The sequence below is a fragment of the Homo sapiens genome, chromosome 1, assembly GCF_000001405.40.
Source record: "Homo sapiens chromosome 1, GRCh38.p14 Primary Assembly".
In the NCBI taxonomy this organism is placed as follows: Eukaryota; Metazoa; Chordata; class Mammalia; order Primates; family Hominidae; genus Homo; species Homo sapiens.
Window position 1 is genome coordinate 17,200,943 of NC_000001.11, and position 20,652 is coordinate 17,221,594.

General features: G+C 52.1%; 1 protein-coding gene across 9 annotated transcripts in view, besides 1 other annotated feature; it reads left to right on the top strand.

The window, feature by feature from the left end:
• Positions 1–4,185: 4,185 nt before the first annotated feature.
• Positions 4,186–20,652, top strand: part of PADI1 (peptidyl arginine deiminase 1) — a 40,880-nt gene continuing 24,413 nt past the window's right edge. For 7 of the 9 annotated variants that reach the window (XR_946619.3, XR_007059265.1, NM_013358.3 and 4 more), the window contains exon 1: positions 4,186–4,367. Coding sequence is in view for 5 of the 9 variants with exons in the window: in NM_013358.3 (NP_037490.2) it covers positions 4,276–4,367 (92 nt within the window). In the remaining 4 variants the exon portion in view is untranslated. The other 2 variants (XM_017001102.2, XM_017001101.2) reach the window with 2 other exon arrangements.
• Positions 9,268–9,769: an enhancer, noted in NCBI's record as "H3K4me1 hESC enhancer chr1:17536705-17537206 (GRCh37/hg19 assembly coordinates)". NCBI's record gives its function as "activates a minimal SCP1, AML or CMV promoter by ChIP-STARR-seq in naive and primed H9 embryonic stem cells {active_cell/tissue: H9 hESC(naive and primed)}" and the evidence as "EXISTENCE:reporter gene assay evidence [ECO:0000049][PMID:30033119]".

Here is a 20,652-nt window from a genome sequence, read left to right on the forward strand (position 1 = left end):
TGTTTTCACATTCCAGCCCTCATACTCGGGCACCATTTTCTTCAGTTCTCTAATGTTTAACTTATGCATTCATCAGAATGAGAGGAAAGGGCTCTCTCTCTCTGTGTGAGAGAGAGAGTGGCTGCTCCGGCTGTTAATGGAAACCCAGCTTGCCACACTAGGTTCATGGAATCTTAGACCATAGACACCTGTTTTCCTGGGCTCTGTATCCATGGAGTAAACTTAGAACTTGCCTTGGTGCCTTTAGGTGTGATGTACTCTGCAGATCAATAACATTTGCAATAGGAAAGATTATTTCAAAAAGATCTTCAAAATCAAAAGTAACCAAATAAATGTTTATGTCATTATCACTAAGGTCTCATTTCCAGCTCTCTACTCCAATATCATTTCTTCAGATTGGCCTTCTCTGATCACTTGACTCAAAACAGCACACCATCCCCTCCTCTCTTCTATTTTATTTGTCTGAATCACTTCCTGGTATCACAGTTTTTATCCCACCAGCTTTCTACCTGCCTGCTCTCCACGATGTCCCACGAGGGCAGGGGCTTGGTCTATCTTGTTCACTGTGGTATCCCCAGGGCCAGAATAATGTCTGGCACATTTTAGGTGCTCAAAAAAAATTGTTGAAGAACAGGGAAAATGAAGCCCTGGCCATTGTAGCCCCAGCACCAGCCACCTTCCCTATAGTGGTTTCTTGGGTTGTTCCAGGGGCTTCCTGGGGTCGTCTTACAGTCCCCTAGTCACCGGGCAGCTGGCAGGCCTCTACCCTGCATGGGGCCCCGTTTCAGGCTAAGTGGGGCCGGCCTCCCAGCTTTATGTCCTCCTTCAGAGGGGAAGGAGGCAGTGATGTCACAGAGGTCTCCCACCCTCGCTCCTCCCCAGTCTGACCGATCAAGGCTGAAATCCCAAGTTCAAAGAGACCACAGCATGGGTGTGCAGGATGTGTTGTTTGTGGGTTGTAGGTAGGGCAGGGGCCCAGGCAGGTCATGGTGTCTTAAAAGAATGTTCTTTGAGCTGGAAGACTGAAAAAGGGAGGCGGGGAAGGAATAGCAGAGGGTGGGGAGAGAAGCCAAAAGGAGGAAATGCATCTTATTTTTCCTCGAAGAGAGAATAATGAGGGTGGCTTCATTTTTTTTTTTCCAACAGTAAAAATGTTGTTTGCTCATGAAAGTGATTCAAACAACACACAAAAGCATGGGGAAGAAATGACCTGATATTCTGCCTCCCAGGGATCTAGTCAGCAATCAGCCCACCAGGGTCAGATGGCCTGGGGTTGAATCCTGATGGGACCAACTTCCAACCATGGACTTGGGAGGGTCCCCAACTTCTCTGTGCCTCAGTTTCTTTTGCTGTAAAATAGAGATGTGCTTATCCTCCTCTCTTCCTCTCTGCCTCCCTCTGCTCTTCCCTCCTTGCCCCCCTTTCTCTTTCCTCTTTCCTCTATCTCAAAGAACATTCTTTTTTTTTTTTTTTTTTCAAGACAGAGTCTTGCTCTGTTGCCCAGGCTGGAGTGCAGTGGTGCAAGCTTGGCTCACTGTAACCTCCACCTCCCAGGTTCAAGCAATTCTCCTGCCTCAGCCTCCCAAGTAGTTGGAATTACAGGTGCCTGCTACCACATCCCGCTAATTTTTGTATTCTTAGTAAAGACGGGGTTTCACCGTGTTGGCCAGGCTGGTCTTGAACTCTTGACTCGAGATCCGCCCGCCTCGGCCTACCAAAGTGTTGGGATTACAGGCATGAGCCACTGTGCCCAGCCCGAAGAACATTCTTTTAAGACACCATGACCTGCCTGGGCCCTGGCCCTGCCCACAACTGGCCAAGGGCACATCCTACACATCCATGTGGTCTGTTTGAACTTGGCATTCCAGGCTTGATTGATACCTGCCACCCAGTATTATTGTGAGGATTAGGTAAATGAATACATGGAGAGGTCTTAAAACAGTGGCACATGGTGAGGGCCATATATGTGTTTGCATCACCATTATTGTTGTCATCATCACCATCATCACCATCATCATCATCATCATCTTTTTAGACAGCTCTTTATGCACCAGCCTGCCTTTCTTCCTGCCTCCCTTTTTCCTATCGTTCACCTATCCATCTGTCTGTCCATCCATCCATCCACCCACACATCCATCCATCCATCCACCCACACATCCATCCATCCATCCATCCATCCATTTAATCTTCTCTAATGGGAACACACCCATGTGCTCTGCAGGAAACTGCTTGTTCCACTCTGCATTCCATTCCATAAGAAATGGACACGTTTATGTCAATAAATGCTGTTAAACAAAATGACTGAGGTCCTGGTAAATTGAGGTTTGGGGTTTGGGTGATGGAAAACCATCCCTGAACACCTGTTTCCCTGGGTTCTGTATCCATGGGGTAAAATTAGACTTTGTCTTGGTGACTTCAGGTGTAATGAACTTTGCAGATCAATAACATTTGCAATAAGAAAGATGGTTTCAAAAATATCTTCAAAATCAAAAGTAACCAAATAAATGTTTATGCCATTTTACTATTTCCTGCCTCCCTAATCAGGCTGGGGTTCCTGCAGCCAGGGACTGTGTGTCCCCCACATCTTCCATCAGACTGACAACTCCTCAGGCAAGGCTGTTTCTCTCTCTCTCTCTCTCTCTCTTTCTTGCTCTTTGCTGCCCTGCCACCCCAGCCCTGTGGACACTAGAGTTCTGGTTTATGTGCCCCTTTTCCCACTCTGTATAAGAGCCCCCTGGAAGAAGAGGACCACATTACTGAGGATGGGTGTCCTGCGATTCCAGAGCAAACGGCTCTTCTCATCACCCCCAATGCCCGATATGAAGGGAACACGTCACCTGCAATTCACCACCTCTACCCCAAGCTCTAACAGACATCTCATGTCGAACAAGTCCAACAGAGAATGGCCAAGCTCCCTGCCCAGCTTGCCCTCCTGCAGCCTTCCCTATCTCTCTGATGACAACTCCATCCTTCTAGTTGCTCGGGTCCCAAATACTCCAGTGATCGTTGACCACTCTCTCTCACACCCACATCCAACTCATCAGCAAACCTCATCGGCTCTACCTTCAAGATACATTCAGGATCCAACCACTTCCCACCACCTTCCCTGTTACCCTGGGACCAAGCCATGCCATCCCTCGCTTAGATAATGGGAAGAACCTTAATGCACCATCTGATGTCATACACACTTTACTCATTTAACTTCACCTACGGTCTGTCTCCCCCAGAATATAAATGTCGTCAGAGCAGGAATCATGGTCTCTTTTGTTCATAGTTGTATCCCTATCACCTAAATGAGTGCCTGACACATAAAAGATGATTAACAAACACTTGTCAAATTAACAAATGAAGTTCTACAAAGAGCCTCAGAACAGGCTGAAGCTTGCTGTGCTGAGCTGAAAGAAGAGGGATTTTCAGAAATGAGTCCACGCTCCCAGGTCATTGCTCTGAGCTCTTTTTCAAGTTCCCTCCTCTCTGGCTCCCCAAGAATGCTTGCCTGGGGTGGCTTCTGCTGTCTGTGGAGTCTGGGCACAAGGGCCTACCCTCACCTGTTGGGGGGTGGTATTGTGTGGCGAGACGGGTGAACCTGCGTGGAAGTTATAACTCTACCACTTACTAGCAGTGAGACCTGCAGCCATGGTTCTCTTACCTGCAAAATGAGGATAAAAGTCATAATTGTTAGTGTTTTAGTGAACACAGGTGCCAGGAGCTGTGCTAATCTTCTTACACATAACTCATGTCTTTCCCACATCAACACAATGGGACAGGTACTACTGTTACAGCTGCCAACTTACACATGAGGCAGCTGAGTCACAGAGAGGTTAAAAGGTTTGATAAGGATCACAGGTGGTTATAGGCAGAGCCCGCACATAGTCAGCCCACAGAAACACTGACATCATTGTAATAGGGGTTCAGGCACCAGGAGTCTTTGGAGGGGAGGGCAGAGGCTGCTGGGGAGCTCTGGAGGGTCTCCTGTCAGCAGGTGAGTCCTGCTTCGCCCGGGGCCCCCAGTTGAAGCTCCCCTTCCCCATCTCCCAGACAGGCCTTGGGCACCTCCTCCCCTGACCTCCTGGATTGACAGCCCTGAGTGAGGAGGGTGTGGAGCCAGGAGGTGGGGACCAGGCTCAGCCAGGCTAATCAGGTCGCAGGGTGAAATTTAAAGGGAGGAGGAGGCACCAGTCCATCAGAACTCACACTTCTTCCTGGCAAAGAAGTGCCCAGGACGGGAGCTGGGGAGCCAGGGCTGATCTAGGAGGCTGGGAGCCAGGTGACAGGATGGCCCCAAAGAGAGTTGTGCAGCTGTCCCTGAAGATGCCTACCCATGCCGTGTGTGTGGTGGGAGTCGAGGCACATGTGGACATTCACAGGTAAGAGCTGGGAGGCGCTCTCCTGGCTGCAGAGAGCTGGGTTAGAGTGTAAGTCAATGGGGTGGGTGCCTGGTAGACAAGTCAGGCACGTTGGAAAGGATGCTGGCAGGAGATAGCAGAGAAGGTGGAGTTGGCTGTGGAGTCTGGAAGGAAGGAACTAGGGTCTAGTCAGGTCCTCCTTGGGGCCCCAGCTCCTGGGCACTGGGCTCAGGACATTGGCTTCAATCCCCTGGGTAAGAGTCCAGCCTTAGATTTCTAACTCTGAGCCCTGGGGTCAGGCTTTGGGGTCTGGGCCCTGCATTCTGACACCTAGGTAGAACTTGTGTGGAACATCAGATGGCTCAAGATGGGGAAGAGAACTGGTTCCCACCTCCCTCAATTTCTTGCCAAGCCCCCATCTCTTTGAGGTGAAGGGACGTGTGTGGTAGCTTGACCCTTGGAGGTCAGCCAGAGATAACTAGATTGATTCCAATCAGGAGGGAGTGGTTAGGAAATACTCGATGAATTAATATGAAGAGAGAACCTGGAGCAAGACGGCTGGGACTTATGTTTGCTGTGAGATGATGGTGATGACGCTGATTATGGTGATGAACAGTGATGATGGCGATGATGGCGGTGATGGTGGCAATGATGACATCTGAGGGGGCATCAGTAGCATTTGCTTCTCCTGTTGACCCAAATCTTTCCTGTGCTGGCTGTGTCCAGATGGGGACTCGGGGACTCAGCCTTAGTTTCCCTACCTGGCCACTAAGGGAATTGGATTTGGTGATCTCTGGTGGCATTTCCAACTCTGAGAGGCTGTCTATGGATTCCATCCCTGCTGGAGCAGGTGGGGCTGAACCCCTTGCAGATAGGGGGCTCGTGGTGGGAGTCTCCCTCAAAGAGGAGCTGGGTGCTGGGGGTCTGTTACTGGGTGAGATCTGAGCTCCTTTCTCCCTCTTGGGACTCAGCCCCTGTACCTGCTGGTCTGGTTAATGTATGTGGGGCCCAGGGCCAGCTGCCCACCTGGCCTCTGGTGATCCTCTGCTCGAGAAGCCCTTCCTGCTTCTCTGTTGGGCAGTGGTCTGTGACCCCGGTGGCAGGGCTGGGGAGGAAAACCAGGAGCCATGGAAACCAAACCTTGACTCTAAGTTGCTGCTGGGAGCCCCGCTGTGGGGGCTGGTTCTCTCGGGTCTAGGTGGCCAGCAGAGACCCCATTGTCTCTTGCCCTGTTAACATAGGCTTGCCAGATTTAGCAAATAAAAATACAGGATGCCTGGTTAAGTTTGAATTTCAGATAAAAAACAAAAAGCTTTTTTAGTATATTGCATGGGAGATATTTCTACTAAAATAATCTGCTGTTTAGCTGAAGCTGAAGTCTTTTTTTTCTTTTTCTTTTTTTTTTTTTTTTTTTTTGAGATGGAGTCTCGCTCTGTCACCCAGGCTGGAGTGCAGTGGCGAGATCTTTGCTCACTGCAACCTCCACCTCCCGGGTTCAATTCTCTGCCGCAGCCTCCAGAGTAGCTGGGATAACAGGAACCCACCATCACACTCGGCTAATTTTGTATTTTTAGTAGAGACAAGGTTTTGCCATGTTGGTCAGGCTGGTCTCAAACTCCTGACCTCAAGTGATCAACCCACCTCGGCCTCCCAAAGTGCTGGGATTATAGGCGTGAGCCACCGTACCTGGCCACTAAAGCTGAAATCTAACTAGGCATCCCACATTGTATCTGGGAATCTACTTTCACACCAAGAGTAGGAAAAGGGTCCCTTGCAGGCCCCCTTCTTCTTATTTCAGGCTTCTGCTCTCATCTGAGGGCATGGCTGTTTCTAGAAGGTGATTTCAGAACCTCTGGCTCTACACTGTGCTGCTAAGGCCAGAAACATTTCACGGGGAGCCGGGAGACCTGGTCTTAGCTCTGCCACTGACTTCCTGCTGGATGTGGGCCAAGTCACTTGTCCTCTCTGGGTTTCATTTCCTCATCTGAGCCCCCATGAGATGAGCTGAGTCCACTCTGCAGTTCACTGTGGAGGTGAAGTACCCAGACCCTGGAGTTGAACACACTCCATTCTCAGGCTGGCTCCAGGCGTGGCTGGAGCTGCACTTCCGAGCCTCAGTTTCCACATCTGAAAATGAAGAAACAATATAACACCAGTTATAATGGGTTCAGGGGAAGATAAATGAGCCCATGCATGTATAAGACCCCTTGCGCCGTGGGTGCCCTGGCAGTGCGCACAGCTCTGGTAGCTCTGTGAGTCCCCTTTTCTCCAGCATCTGTCCTTTCCCTCACACCTGAGAGGATGGGAGGAGACGAGGACAGCTCAGACTGCAAGTGCTGGGAGCATAGGGTGTCTGTAAAGCTCCTTAGCGTCCTCAAATGCAGGCCCTGGCCCAGCGGAGGGGCAACGGGAAGTTGCCTGGGCTATTCATAGCTGTTGTGCTCTGGTTGGCTCTGGGAGGCAGAGGTTGCTCTGGGATCCTGAGTGAGCACACAGGGCACCTCCATCCAAGAGCCCTTCAGGAACCTTCACCTGGGTGTTGGTGGTGACTATGGTCATAGCTACTGAGAGCCTCCAAACTAGGACACAGAAGTTGATTCTGCAGCATAAGGAAGAGCTTCCTGCTGGCCAGGTCTGCGATGGGCAGGGAAAGAGGGGCATGGAATTGTCAACCTGGGAAGGTTTTTAAGAGGAGCCTGAAGCTCACTCCAGCAGCTGGGCTGGCAGCAGGAGGAAGGGGTTACACTTGATGACAAGTGATGAACTTGGGGCCTCCCCAACCCCTTCACCCAGTGTCTGACTCTAGCTAAGGCCAAGTAAGGGGTTTCTAGTTGGCCTTACTGGTGGGAGGGGGGAAGCCCCCAGAAGAGGAGGTGTTGCCAGTCACCTGAGCTGCTGGGAGTCTGAGCCCTCCAGGAGATGGGTGTGTAGGGATGACATCACAGGAAGTGATTCATTCCCCCAGGGGCTGTGTGAACTGGTTATTTGGAGAAACACTTGTGTTTGGGGTAATTGTGTGCCCCAGGGTGTCCCAGCCTAGGAAACCCTTAGGAATCCTCGACTCAGCATGTGCTGCAGGTCCCATCCCCACACCCCAGTAGGCTAGCCCACCACCCTGTCCACCCCCGACTCCAGTGGGCTAGCTCACCACCCTGTCCACCACCCACCCCAGTGGGCTAGCCCACCACCCTGTCCACCCCTGACTCCAGAGGGCTAGCTAACCACCCTTTCCACCCCCCACCCCAGTAGGCTAGCCCACCACCCTGTCCACCCCCGACTCCAGTGGGCTAGCTCACCACCCTGTCCACCCCCCACACCAGAGGGCTAGCTCACCATCCTGATGACCCACACTCCAGTGGGCTAGCTCACCACACTGACCCCCACACCCCAGTGGGCTAGCTCACCACCCTGATTCCCTGGATCTGGCCAGACTGCCCTGGCTATCCTTGTCCTTGCCTAAGGAGTTCAGGTGGCTCATGCCAATAAAGACAGGGGTGGGAAGTGTGAGGAATCCATCTGCGGTCCTGTGTGGCCCTCCTTGACTGCCCAGAGGCCAGAACCAGAGCCTGAGGCTGGAGACCATAAAGAACCTTTATTCTTTGGGATGCAGAAGGCCGGCCTTGTAGGAGACAGGGACATTCTCCTGCACTTTCCCCCAAGCCTTCCCCACCACTGCAAAAGCAGCAATGCAAGACTGAGTCAGGATCAGACAGCGGTAGAATTGGAGGGGCATAGGGAGAAGGGACTCTGCAGGCCTCTCAGATGCATTTTCTGGAATTCTCTGTATTTCAGAAAATGAAAATGCCAAAACAGAGTTCGAAAACTTGTGGTATGTGTAATGTGTACATCGAGTAAATTAATGCTTTTAACTCGCACAGAAGAACAATGAGGCATAATTGTGCTCCTCAGGGGAAAATTACAGGATTGACACTGACACTAATTTCCAGCGACCGACAGGCTGCCGGCCCCTGGCTGGACACATTCTCTGCTCCGTCCTGTCACTGTGTCACTGCAGCAGGAAGAACACTATTCACCAGAAGAGACATTAAAAGTTCAAGTTTCAGGGTCCCTGGAGAATATGAAGCTGGGGTCCTCCGCAAGTTCCACAGGGCCCTGACAGGCCCGGGGGTTGTAAAAACTGGACTCAGAATGGAAGAGGGTAGCATTCTTGAAACATAAAATATTGACATCACGAAGGGCCTCAGAGGTCAGCCACCCCTTAATTCTGTGGAACTCCCTGCTCCCCTGGGTCCTAGCTGCCACTTGCCATTTTGGGACTGGCTGGGAATCTCTCCCCCTCCCTCTGGCCCCCCAGGCCCTCCGCTTTCCGCCTCCTTACCCCTTCCTGGCATTTCCTGGATCCTAGTCTTGGAATGTCTCCTCACTCTGAGCCTTCTTCTCTTCCCTTCTCAGCTCCCATCCCTTTTACTTCCAGCTGGTCTTTGCAGGCTGTGTGACCTTGGGCCAGTCACTTAGCATCTCTGAGCCTGTTTTCTTCGGAGTGACATCCCTTATTGTTTGTACCTGCGAAGCTGGCACCTTTATTTTTTCCATTTTATTTTATTTTTATTTTTATTTTTGAGATGGAGTCTCACTCTGTTGCCCAGGCTGGAGTGCAGTGACATGATCTCGGCTCACTACAACCTCCATCTCCCAGGTTCAAGTGATTCTCCTGCACTCCTCTGCCCCCCAAGTAGCTGGGATTACAGTTATGCACCACCCCGTATTTTTAATGGAGACAAGGTTTTGCCGTGTTTTCCAGGCTGGTCTCGAACTCCTGACCTCAGGTGATCTGCCCACCTCGGCCTCCCAAAGTGTTGGGATTACAGGTGTGAGCCATCTCACCCTGCCTAAGTTTTTATTTTATTTTATTTTATTTTATTTTTTGAGACAAGGTCTCGTTCTGTCACCCAGGCTAGGGTGCAGTGGTGTGACCATGGCTCAGTGCAACCTCAAACTCTTGGGCTCAAGTGATCCTCTGCCTTAGCCCCCCAAGTAGCTAGGATTACAGGCCTGAGCCACCGCGCCCGGCCAATTTTTTTCCATTTTACCTTGAGGAATTCCACAATCCACAGAATGCGGACATGCTTTGGGGAGAGGATCGGTGACTCACGACTTGGACTCTAAATTCAGGGCCCTATCTCTCAGGGACATTCTGGTCCCCAGCCCCTGTTTATCTCTTCTGGGAAGACCAGTGAGTGAAAGCTGTCCCTCTTCTCCAGCCTCCATTCCTGGCTGGGCAGAGCTCCACTTGGGAGAAAGCTGGTTCAGCCTGCGCCCTCAGCCTGGGCTCTCTGGGCGTGCCCCTCCCCAAGCAATGACAGGGCATAAGGCACCCACTAGTGTGATTTCTGTGAATGAGGGAGAAGACAGGACACAGCCACATCATGTGTGATTCTAGACTCCTGAGAAAATGCCTGAGCCTGCTGAGGGGTCTGGGACATCAGCCATTGCCCTCCCTCAACCTCCAGCAGCCCCAGCCAGCCCCGGGGAGAGGATGCAGGGGAAAGCTAAAGCCAGGGTTGCAGCCAGGGGACTGGGGGTTGGAGCTGCCCCCTCCTACTGTCTGGTGCCCACACCTCCCATCTCAAGGAACCTCCTGTGGTCTTTTCCCCAGGGCCGTCTGCTCCCGGGCACCTGCTCTGTGCTGGGTTCTGGCACTCGGTGATGATACGGCCCATGGCCACATGTGAGGAGCTTCCATCCTAGTTGGAGAGTTAAACAAATTTCAGGATGTGGGTTTCAACAATTGCACACCTGACCCATTTTCTTGGTCAGGGAGGAGAGTGAAGGGAGGTGCCAGGGTCCTATTAACGACAGGGCCCTGTGTCCTCTTTTGTCCGGGTCTGCCCACTCCTCCATGCCTTTCAGATGCCCTCTGTGACTGTAATGATCATGATGGCAGCCCTGGTTTTTTGTTTTTGTTTTTGTTTTTTTTTGAGACGGAGTCTTGCTCTGTCACCCAGGCTGGAGTGCAGTGGCACGATCTTGGCTCACTGCAACCTCCGCCTCCCAGGTTGAAGCAATTCCTCTCCCTCCACCATGCCCAGCTAGTTTTTTGTATTTTTAATAGAGATGGGGTTTTACTATGTAGGCCAGGCTGGTCTTGAACTCCTGACCTCAGCCTCCCAAAGTGCTCGGATTACAGGCATGAGCCACCATGCCCAGCCGGCAGCCCTGTTTTAAGTGCTCACTGCACCATCTCAGTTAAACCTCACAACAAGCCTGTGAGATGGGGACTACTATAATCCCCATTTGCAGACACGCGGAGACACAGAGAGGTTAAGAGACTTTTCTGAAGTCACACAGCCCACAAATGCCAGAGCTGGGATTTGGACCCAGGTCCACCTGGTTCTAAATTCTGTGAGCCTAACCCTGTGACTGCCCAGGCTCTGAGACTCTTCTATGTTGCTGGGTAAGTGAGGGGTGAAGTGAAGGCAGGGCAGCAGATGAGCTTTGGAATCAGACCCAGGCAGGGGCCAAGCACGGCTGTGCCCCATCACCCTCTGTGTGACCTCTCTGTATTTCAGCTCATTTTCTGTAAAATGGGGAGAAGAATAATCACTCCCCTATTAGCAGGCAGGGGCCATGGGGATGGAATCAGAGAATGGAGTAAAAACCCTCCGTAGACTCTGTGGACCCCACAAGGGCAAAGCCAAGGATGATTTGTCTCTGCTTTCCTGGTGCCCAGCATGGGACCTGATGTACAGTAGCTACCCAGGAAGGTACGTTGAGGCAGAGCCACTGGCAGCACTAATGGGAGCCCTGTGTGCCCCAGGGAAGCTGCTGGCCTTTAGCTGGAGCTCACGGGGTGGCGGCCAGTACCCCGGGACTATCAGCCTCCAGGCAGATCCCTGGCTCCAGGCAGAATCACCCACGGAGCTGGTCACCCCAGGAGATTTGCTGGGCCCTGCTGCCTGACCCTACGGCATTTCTTGTGGCTTCATTCCAGGACACCTAGCGGCTGGCACCTGTGGGGCTCCTGGCAGGCCAGATCCTGGCCAGGCGTGCAGGGGAGCCACAGGCTCAGCCAGCAGTGCCTGCTCTTCAGCCTTTTCGTCCGATTCTGCCTGATTCTCCCCCTCCTGCCCCCACCACTCATCCAGCACAGTGCCCCAGACGACCCCCAAGAGCACATTGGCCCCCACCCCCACCCACTCAGTTTCTGCCCCCAGGATCTGGCCATGTCCAAAGTGCAGGATAGGACAGTTGGCAGGGAAGCATTCCTCTGTGACTGCTGTATTTCTCTTCTCCCTAGAGACCAGGTGGTACATTTCTGAGCTGTTGACCTAAGATTTGGCCGGTGGAGCCCCAGTGGGCCGAGGCTTCTGGGAAGCAAGTTGCAGCCACGCAAAAGGAAAAGCTTTCTAATTACCTGAACTGTCAAAGCAGAGAGGGGTGTGAGGTAGTGAGCTGTCAGTCTTTGGGAGTGGGCAGGGGGCTGGCCGGGATGACCTCCAAGGCCCGTCTCTGACCCAAGGCCTATGCTATGCAAGATGCTCCCTGGTCTCTTCTGTCATTTTAGGGCAGACAAGGACAAGAAGATCACAGGCACCACCCCCCTCGCCTTGCCGCTGTAAGATGTGGGTGTGTGGTGGGGCCAGGGGGCTGTGGCTTTCCTGCCTTGGTGCCGCCACCCTCCCTAGGCCTCCCTGGCCTGCTGCCAAAGAGCCATGCAGAGGAGCTCGAATTGCACACTCTCTCAACACATTCCTGTTTCCTTCCGACATCCCTGATCGTCTCCTCCTTCCAGTCCCCGACAAGGGCATGCTCAGGGCACACACGCACTCATTTTAATACCAGCCAGGACAGCTTCTCACTTTGCTATCTGGGTGACCTGAGTAAAGTTACTTAACTTCTCCGAGATTTCTTCATCTGTGAAGTGGGGACGTAATCTCCTACCAGGCTGGTAGGAGCAGGGAAAAGTAAAAAAAGAAAAGAAAGCTGATCAGCTCCAAGCCTGCCTTTCTTCATGGTCCAGGACGCATTGCCCTCCTATGCAAGTAACTCACAATCTTCCTGCACCCAGCTTTCACCAGACCCCTGCAACTGAGCTCCCCGCGGCCTGGGCATAATCAGTACTGCACAAAGCCCTCTTCAACAGACAGATAAACATCGTCCTATAAAATCCCCAGCAAGTCTTTGTTTCTTTGCAGTCGGCTTCACCCCAGAGAGAGGCTTCTTTCTTGAAGGCTGACTTTTGTGTCTCTGGCGATGTATTTTCCTACTTTCTGTAATCAATCTGCTTTCCTTTACACACAGCTGTCCTGGTAAATTCTTTTACTCCTGCATTACCGGCCGTCATTACCCTGTGACAAGTAACACCTACCTTGGTCGGGGAGCAGGAGTTGGAGTGAAGTCTAGATGAGATCATGGATAGCAAAAGCTAAGCACGTGCCTGGCACACGGCAGGTGCTTGAAAATGCAGGCTCTTTCCCTGCCCCACTAGAACCCATGGAACATGCTGCCTTATGCCATAACCAGTGGGTGAACCTGCACCTTACCACAGGAGGCGGGCAGGGGTGGAGAGTAGTTGGTTTTACACTCCTCATCCCGCCCTCCGCGTCTCCTTTTGTGAGATTCTCTAAGAATTCACCCCATTCTGCCCATAACCTCTCTATTGAACCTGATGCAACTGGCCCTGCTGTGGGCATGAGGTTGGTGGGCATTGCAGGGTGAGTAGGAGGACGCTGCTCTGGGCGGCGCAGACGAGATGTGAAGTGGCCCCCAGGAAGGTCTGAACCAGGGCCATGGGGGCACAGAGGAAGCACATAAGGTTTCTGGCTGGAGTGAGTTGGGCTGTCTGGGGATTCTGAGAAGAGTAATTGTAACCATGGTGACAGCATCTAACGCTGAGAAGTCATCATCTCAGGGAATCCCTCCAACAGTCTAGGAAGTAGCTCTTGGGATTGTGTCCATTTTACAGCGGAGGAAAATCGAGGCAGTTGAGTGACCCAGTTGGAGGCCATGCTCCACACAGAACCCACACTTCACTCCATGGAAGAGGTGGCATTTGAAGTGGGTCTTGAAGAATGCAAAAGACCCCCCTGCCCCCCGCCCCATGACTTGGCCCAGCAGAGATGGGGGAGCAGCCTGGTGAGGGGCAGGCTCATCAGCATAACAGTGGAAACCATGATGATATAACAGTGATTACCAAGACACCTGACAGGGTGACTCCTGTAGTGGTAATGATTTGGCCTTTTTTATTTGGAGGGGTGCTTTCAAATCTGTGACCTCACCTGACTGTGCATTTGGGGACATGCCAGTACTGCATATCTGGGGGTTGGTTAGGTCTGGGGGCTACATCATGAGACATCACCAAAGAGAAGCATCTTGGAGAGGATTATTAGATTTGGAGGAAGCCGGGAGCAGCTCCAGAAAGCTGGCGCAATACAGCCCACTGCAGGGTGGCCTGGGGCTCCCCACAAGCTCCCACTCCTGCCTGTCACACCTCCCAAGGGCAGCCCTTCATCCATGACCAGGCCCACAGATCTGGGCACCTGAGAGATAAGGAAAGGCAGTATAAGCCCCGTCTCCCAGCCCCGGGGCAAGGGTTGGGGTAGGATGCCAAGGGAATGAGAATCAAAGGCAGCGCAGGGCTCACCCGGCATAACCTGCCTTGCTTGGGTGCCAGAGAGAATAAGCAGACCCCTCCTCCTGCCTCTTCCTGGTGGTTTTCAAAGCTCCTGCTGGGGTACCTGCCGCTCTTCTGTAGCTGAAGCTGACCTGGATGGGGGTGATGGGAACCAAGTCTTGAAGGCAGTGGGGCTGGGAACTAGAATAGGCCCCTCCCCATGCCTGTGGGAGTGGCCCTGGGCCTCAGACCTGCATAGCAGGTGTCTCCTGCAGGAAGCCACATTTCCCCCAAGGCCTGACCCCTCTAGGCACTGCCCACTCATCTGTTACTCACAGGGGAGGGAGACACTGAGACCAGGAGCCCAGCACCCCAGAGAGAGGTGAACAGAGGTGTGAGCTATTGAGCAAGTTTGGGGTGGGGAGGGAGCAGATCTAGACTACAGGAAGCTAGGCTGGGCTTGGAGGGTCTTGATAGCCCCAGAGAAATTGTACCTGTCATTTCTTCCCCCTTCTTTCATCATCATCATCATCGTCATCATCATCATCATCATCATTTTCTACCAAGACTCCAAATAGGGGGCTGTGACTTAGAGATGTCAACTTTTGCCCAAAGCTAGGGATTGGCTCCACAGAGTCCTGCTTCCCTTGAAAGGGCTGTGTCTGGCACCGGTGGTCCCTGAGTGGGGTGGAGCAGGAGTCACCCATGAGCTAGAAACCCTTCTGCTGCCAGCTGGGTGCCCTGGGCTTGTGGCTACTTGCTCTTGGAACTCATGGGCCAGGCCGACTGGATTCAATCATGACTCAGCCACCTCCCCGCTGGGCAGTCCTGAGAAAGCCACTCCACCATCCTGAGTCGCTGTGTCCTTGTCCAGAACGCGTTGATTGTGCCCCTGGTTCATGCCAGGCACTAAGCTGGATGCAGAGATGACAGCAGCGATGCAGACAGCATAAAACAGAAAAAAAATCTCTGCATTTTAGAGGGAGAGACTGCAATGAGCAGATATGTGCTCTGTCAGGTGGCTGGGAGGTGGCCGGTGCCATGGGCTGGAATGAAGCTGGGGTTGGGGAACCAGACTCATGGTGTCATTTGTGTCACGCCATTTGCAACAGGCAAGAAGGGTACATCAGAAAGGCCTCGTATGCTACCCTGAGAGAAGGAAGTGAGGGGCTGGGCGGACCGCAGGGATTGGTGACAGGAACATTCCGGACAGACAGAGCTGCAGCCCTGGCATGCTTGAAGAACGGCAGGAACAAGCAAGAGGGCGTGGGGAGGGAAAGCAATGGGTCAGGAAAGCCTGGGAGGCCACACAGGCTCTGGTGACAGCCTCTGAGCAGGAGGGATGCAACGGGACTTCTATTTTAAAAGGTCCCTCTGGCTGCTATGTTGAAGCTGGACTGTGGGGAGAGAGGGGAAGCAGGTCACTGGCCTATGATAAAAATCCACATGGAAGCAACTGGTGGCTTGGACAGGATGTGAGCTGTGGCAGAGGTGAGAGCGGTCAGGGTCTGCAGTTGCTATGAAGGTGGAGCTGATGGGATTTGCTGAGGGGCTGGCTGTGCGAGTGAGGGAACAAGAGGAGGTGAGGCTGAATTGGAAGGTGGAGCTGCTATGGACAGACTTGCGGTGGGTTGGGCAGGAGCAGGTTTGAAAGGAGTGGGGAAGGAGTGGGCATGGGGAAGCAGGAGTTTGGCTTTGGATGTGTGAAATTTAAAATGCTTGGTAGGGCTGGGCGCAGTGGCTCACGCCTGTAATCCCAGCACTGTGGGAGGCCGAGGTTGGCAGATCACTTGAGGTCGGGAGTTCAAGACCAGCCTGGCCAACATGGCGAAACCCCATCTCTACTAAAAATACAAAAATTAGCTGGCGTGGTGGTGAGCTCCTGTAATCCCAGCTACTTGGGAGGCTGAGGCAGGAGAATCGCTTGAACCCAGGAGGCAGAGGTTGCAGTGAGCTGAGATCATGCCTTTGCACTCCAGCCTGGGTGACAGAGCACGACGTTGTCTCAAAAAATAAAAAATAAATAAAATAAAATGCCTGGTAGACACCCAGGGAGAAACTCAGAAAGCAAGAAGTCTGAGAGTTCTAACCATATTGATGTGGCAGGTGGAGAAAACCAAGGGAGTGGGTGTAGACAGAAGAAAGGAGGAGAGGAGAGGGGAGGGAGGGGAGGAGAGGAGGAGAGGGGAGGGAGGGGAGGAGAGGAGGAGAGGGGAGGCTGAGCCCTAAGCCAGGTGCGCTGGGGCCAGCCGCACTCTGAAGAGTACCAGTGTAGGGATTCTGCCCGTTGCCGATGGTGCCTATTCCAATTACACATTTCAGAACTTGTTGGGGTGGGGCGGAACCACACATGGGCTCAGGGGCTACTGGACCCACTGTAAGATGAACCTGAGCTGAAACTCCATGGATCACCTGGCCTCCATGAGCCCCTGCTCTGCCAGGTGGGCCGCAGTGTTGTTTAGGGTCTCCTAGACCAGTTCAGGGCCGGTGTGCAGGAGAACTAGAAATGTACGATTATTTCCTTTTCCCCAGTGACAGTCACCCTGGTAAAAAGTTGTGTGTCCTCTCGGGGAAGGCTGGGAGAAAGTTGAACAGTGTGTTTGTGGCAATGTACCAGGGTCCTTCCTCAAGGAGATCTGATTGTTTAATTTTTAAGAAGGTTATGAACCCCTTGTTAAACACAGCCACTATTTAAAATTAAATATACACACAATTAAGCAAATTATATTAAAAACAAAGGCAGTAGTACTGAAAACTCATCACTGCTTAATTATTTTACTGCATTTTACCATTGTCCAGATATAGTGGAAATAGTGATGTCACGAGGTGCTATTATGCAGCTCTTTGAAACTCTGAGTCCAATGATGTTGGGCTGGTAACTTGAAACTGGCTAGAGTGGGAGTGTTTACACCACAGACATTGGTCAAGGCTACAAATCAGGGCTTCATTCATCGTTTTATCAAATGCCTAGAGTTCAGAAAGTGATGGAGACAGGTTAACAATGTCAACTCAATTTAAAAGTGTATTGCGTCTATAGCCATGACATTGTGGTTAGTACCAAAAATTGATGAAATGTTCCTCCAGGATTATCTGATTCAGCAAAGAGGTTGCTCATATCCTAGATGAATGAATGAAGGGTGACATGCATCTTCATTGTTTCCCCTTTCATCTTATTCGTGAATGCCAACAAAAATATCAACCAACGTTTACGTCACATATCAGATTTAGTGACAATAAACTTATGGAGGAAAGAATGAGCAGATTGGGATGCAATTGCATTGGTCAAATCATGGTCAAATTGCAACCACAGGTTGGCTACAGTTGCAAGAGAGGGCATCTGGAGGAATCAATGTACTATATAGAATTTACAACACATTTTACAATAAAGAATTATATGTATTATACTATTATTTTTACATTATGTGCTACACACTATTTACATCAGTAAAATTTATAATAAATTTATATATACATATATATGCATAAGAACCCCCCCACTCCAGAGAGCTGGTTGTTAAACATTTGCCAGCACACCACTGCCTGGAGTTAGGGGGTAAGGGGGAGTGACACAGCAAAGGCATTAGAGGAAAGGCCACGGAGTCAGAGGAGAGCAAGCAGAGCCCGTGTCCCAGCTGCCAAGTGGGAAAGTGTTTCAAAGACAGGTGATCATCTGGGCCAAGTGCCTCTGACAGGTCAATGAGGGGAAGAAGAGAAAAGACCCACTGGGTTTGGCAACAGTGGAGTTTCCTTGGTGTGGTGGGAGGAAAGGCTGATTAGAGGCAGGTTGCAGACGCAAAGAGAAGAAATAATTGGAGGTGTCAAGGGAGCAGAAGAAATGAGGAGGTCAAAGGAGAATGAGTTTGGGGATGGGTGATATTCACGTCTGTGTGCTGGGTGCAAGGGAGGGGAGAAGGGGCAAGGCCAGTGATGCCCTTGAGTAGGGGATGTGCCCCAGGAGGGCTGGTCTTGGGCAAGAGCCCAGACAGCACACCCCTCTTCCCAGGAGGGCAGGCATGGTCGTGGACTCAAAGGCAGGAGGGCTGGGAGATGAGGTGGTGGGAGGAGGGAGGTTGAAGGCTCTGAGTGACAAGGGGGAAGAGTGGGGAGGCTTCTGGAGATAGGAGAAGATAGGACATAGTCCTCTAGGACACTGAAAGAGAAAAGAGCCTGGAGCAATGCTGTAGGAGCACGAGCATGTCACGCATCCATTGAGGTCAGCAGTCATGAGTCCAAGTGAACCATGGTCAGCCGCGTGGTGCAGGTGCAGAGGGGGTGGAGAGTTGGATCTGATTGTATAGCTGGAGCTCTGCCAGGCAGCTCAAGGGAGGGAAGGATGAGCAAAAGATTAGGGAGTGGAGCAAGGGGGTGGCCGCAGCGGGGGACTATGGGATCTATGGGACTATCCTGGGGAAGGGAAGAGGGAACATGAGGGATGAGGGACAGCAGTGGGGGGCGAGTAGAGAGGACTCAGCCTTCAAAGGTCAAGCGTCCCAGTGGGCTGAAGGTTTGGTTGCACTGGTGTGTTAGGAGTGAGCTGGAATATTGGGAAGCGGTGTCCGAGTGGGTTGCTAACAGGGGAGCTTGTAGTGGGTGCAGTTTTTTGATAATAACATTCTATAGCACCTGCCCCGTGAAGGAGGGGATGAGGCCAGGTGGAGGACAGGAGCATTGGATGAGAGGTCAAGGGACTGAGGGACCAGGGTGCAGCACACCATCTACATCGCCATTGAAGTATAAACTGGTGACGGCAGCCGGCTGAGGAACATGGCAGGAGCTGGCACCCTCGAGATGAGGACAGAGCGATGGTGTGCAAAGGTGTCCCTGTAGATGGGTGGTGTAGTCTGGAAATGTCAATGCAAAGCTGGGGGTTTACGGAGTGAAGAAAGATGATGATCTGGAAGGGACATTGAGGAGCATGAAGGACCCTTGCCCACCTCCAGGCCCAGGGGCTGGAGGGAGTAAGGGGGAAGCAGTCACCAGGGAGATGGCTGAAGGGGAGGCCATGCCTGCTATTGGGGGCAGGCTTCTTTTACAGTACAAGATCAAGGAAACTGTCCAGGGTGGGACTGAGGATATCGTGCAGATGATGGTGGCTGGGATTGAAAGGGAGTTGGGGAGGATGAGGAAGGGGGTCAGATGAGAGGATGATAGTCCAGGAGACTTGGGGTTTCCATGGCAACTGATGTAAACGATGAGGAAGAGCAGGTAAGGTGCGAGGACCCCCAAAAGTGCTGTGGAATGTGGTGATTGTAAGGCCAGGAGTGGGGGATGGGGGAGGTGGGTCTTGCCAGCAGCCTGCAGGGGCTCCTGGGGCCCCTGCACACTCCTGCCTCTTCTGTAAAATGGGGATTATAATCTTTGCTTTGGGGGGTTGTGATGAGCATTAGGGAGCGCCAAGTAGGACTCGTGATTGTTGGAATTAGGACTGTTGTCACCGCAGTCAATGGAGACAGTTTTTTGATGGGGCCAAGTGATCATGGCAGAGGTTGTGGAGGGGGTCTGGTTTCTCCAGAGGGCTGAATATTTGGGTGGTTTTTTAGGGGTCCAGGAAAGGATGAAGGCGGGAGAATATGCAGAAGGACCCCTTTTGCAGAGTGGCAGAAAGTGAGAATCCAACCATTTATTAACAAGTGTTTATTGAGCACCTACTATGGGCCAGACACTGTTACAGGTGTTGGGGATGCAGCTGTGAGCAAAACAGACAAAATTCCTCCAGCAGCATCTTTGTAGTCAGGTGGATGTCTGTAAGTGGACTTGACCTTGGGTGGTGTCCTGGTGGCTGATGGCTCTGCCGTGGGGGATGATGTTGGAGAGCCCTGACTTACAAAGGAAGAACAAGCACCAATGTGTAGTTCTCTCATTCAACCTCCTCTCCAGAGTGTGAGCGCCACAGGCTCAAGAGCCTCCTGGAACTCTGGGGATTAGTGCAGTGCCTGGCACAGAGAGGCCATAGTTCACGCTTATGCAGGGGATGAAGAAGAATGAGATGCCACCCACAGAGGCCCTGTTGGTTTTGCTCTGCGTGCCCTGTAGCCTGAGTTTGCAGTGCATCCCCCTCTGATGCTGTGGGCCAGGAAGGCTGGCCCCAACCAGCTGTGGCTGGGAGCAGCTGGTGGTGTGAGGGGTAGGGTGGGGGCCCGGCAGATGAGTGCCCCAGGCTGGGGCCAAGGCAGATGGGAGGCTTCTCAACACCCATTTCTTGATCCCAGAGCTCTGATGTATCAGGTGAATGCGGTGTATTGGGTGATGGAAAGAAGTTGCACGGGGTGCTGGCATTAGTCAAGTTCTAGATCTCCACTCAAGTGCAGATGGGCTTGAATCCCCCTGCAGAGTGGCAGAAAGTGAGAATGCATCCATTCATTCACACGTGTTTATTGGGCACCTACACCTACCATGTGCCAGACACTGTTATAGGTGCTGGGGATGCAGCTGTGAACAAAACAGATAAAATTCCTGCCCTTGTGGAGCTGACCTTCTAGCAAGAGAGATGGACAGTTGACTGGCATTGAGGTGGGAGAATCGCTTGAACCTGGGAGGCGGAGGTTGCAGTGAGCAGAGACTGCACCACTGCACTCCAACCTGGGTGAGAGAGTGAGACTCTGTCTCAAGAAAAAAAAAAAAAAAGAATCAGAGCAGGGGAAGGGAGATGGGGGATCAGTCGGGGGGAAAGGTGGGCAAGGTGCAGCATTAAATGGAGTGATTGGGTGGGGGCAGGAGCTTGCTGAGAAGGTG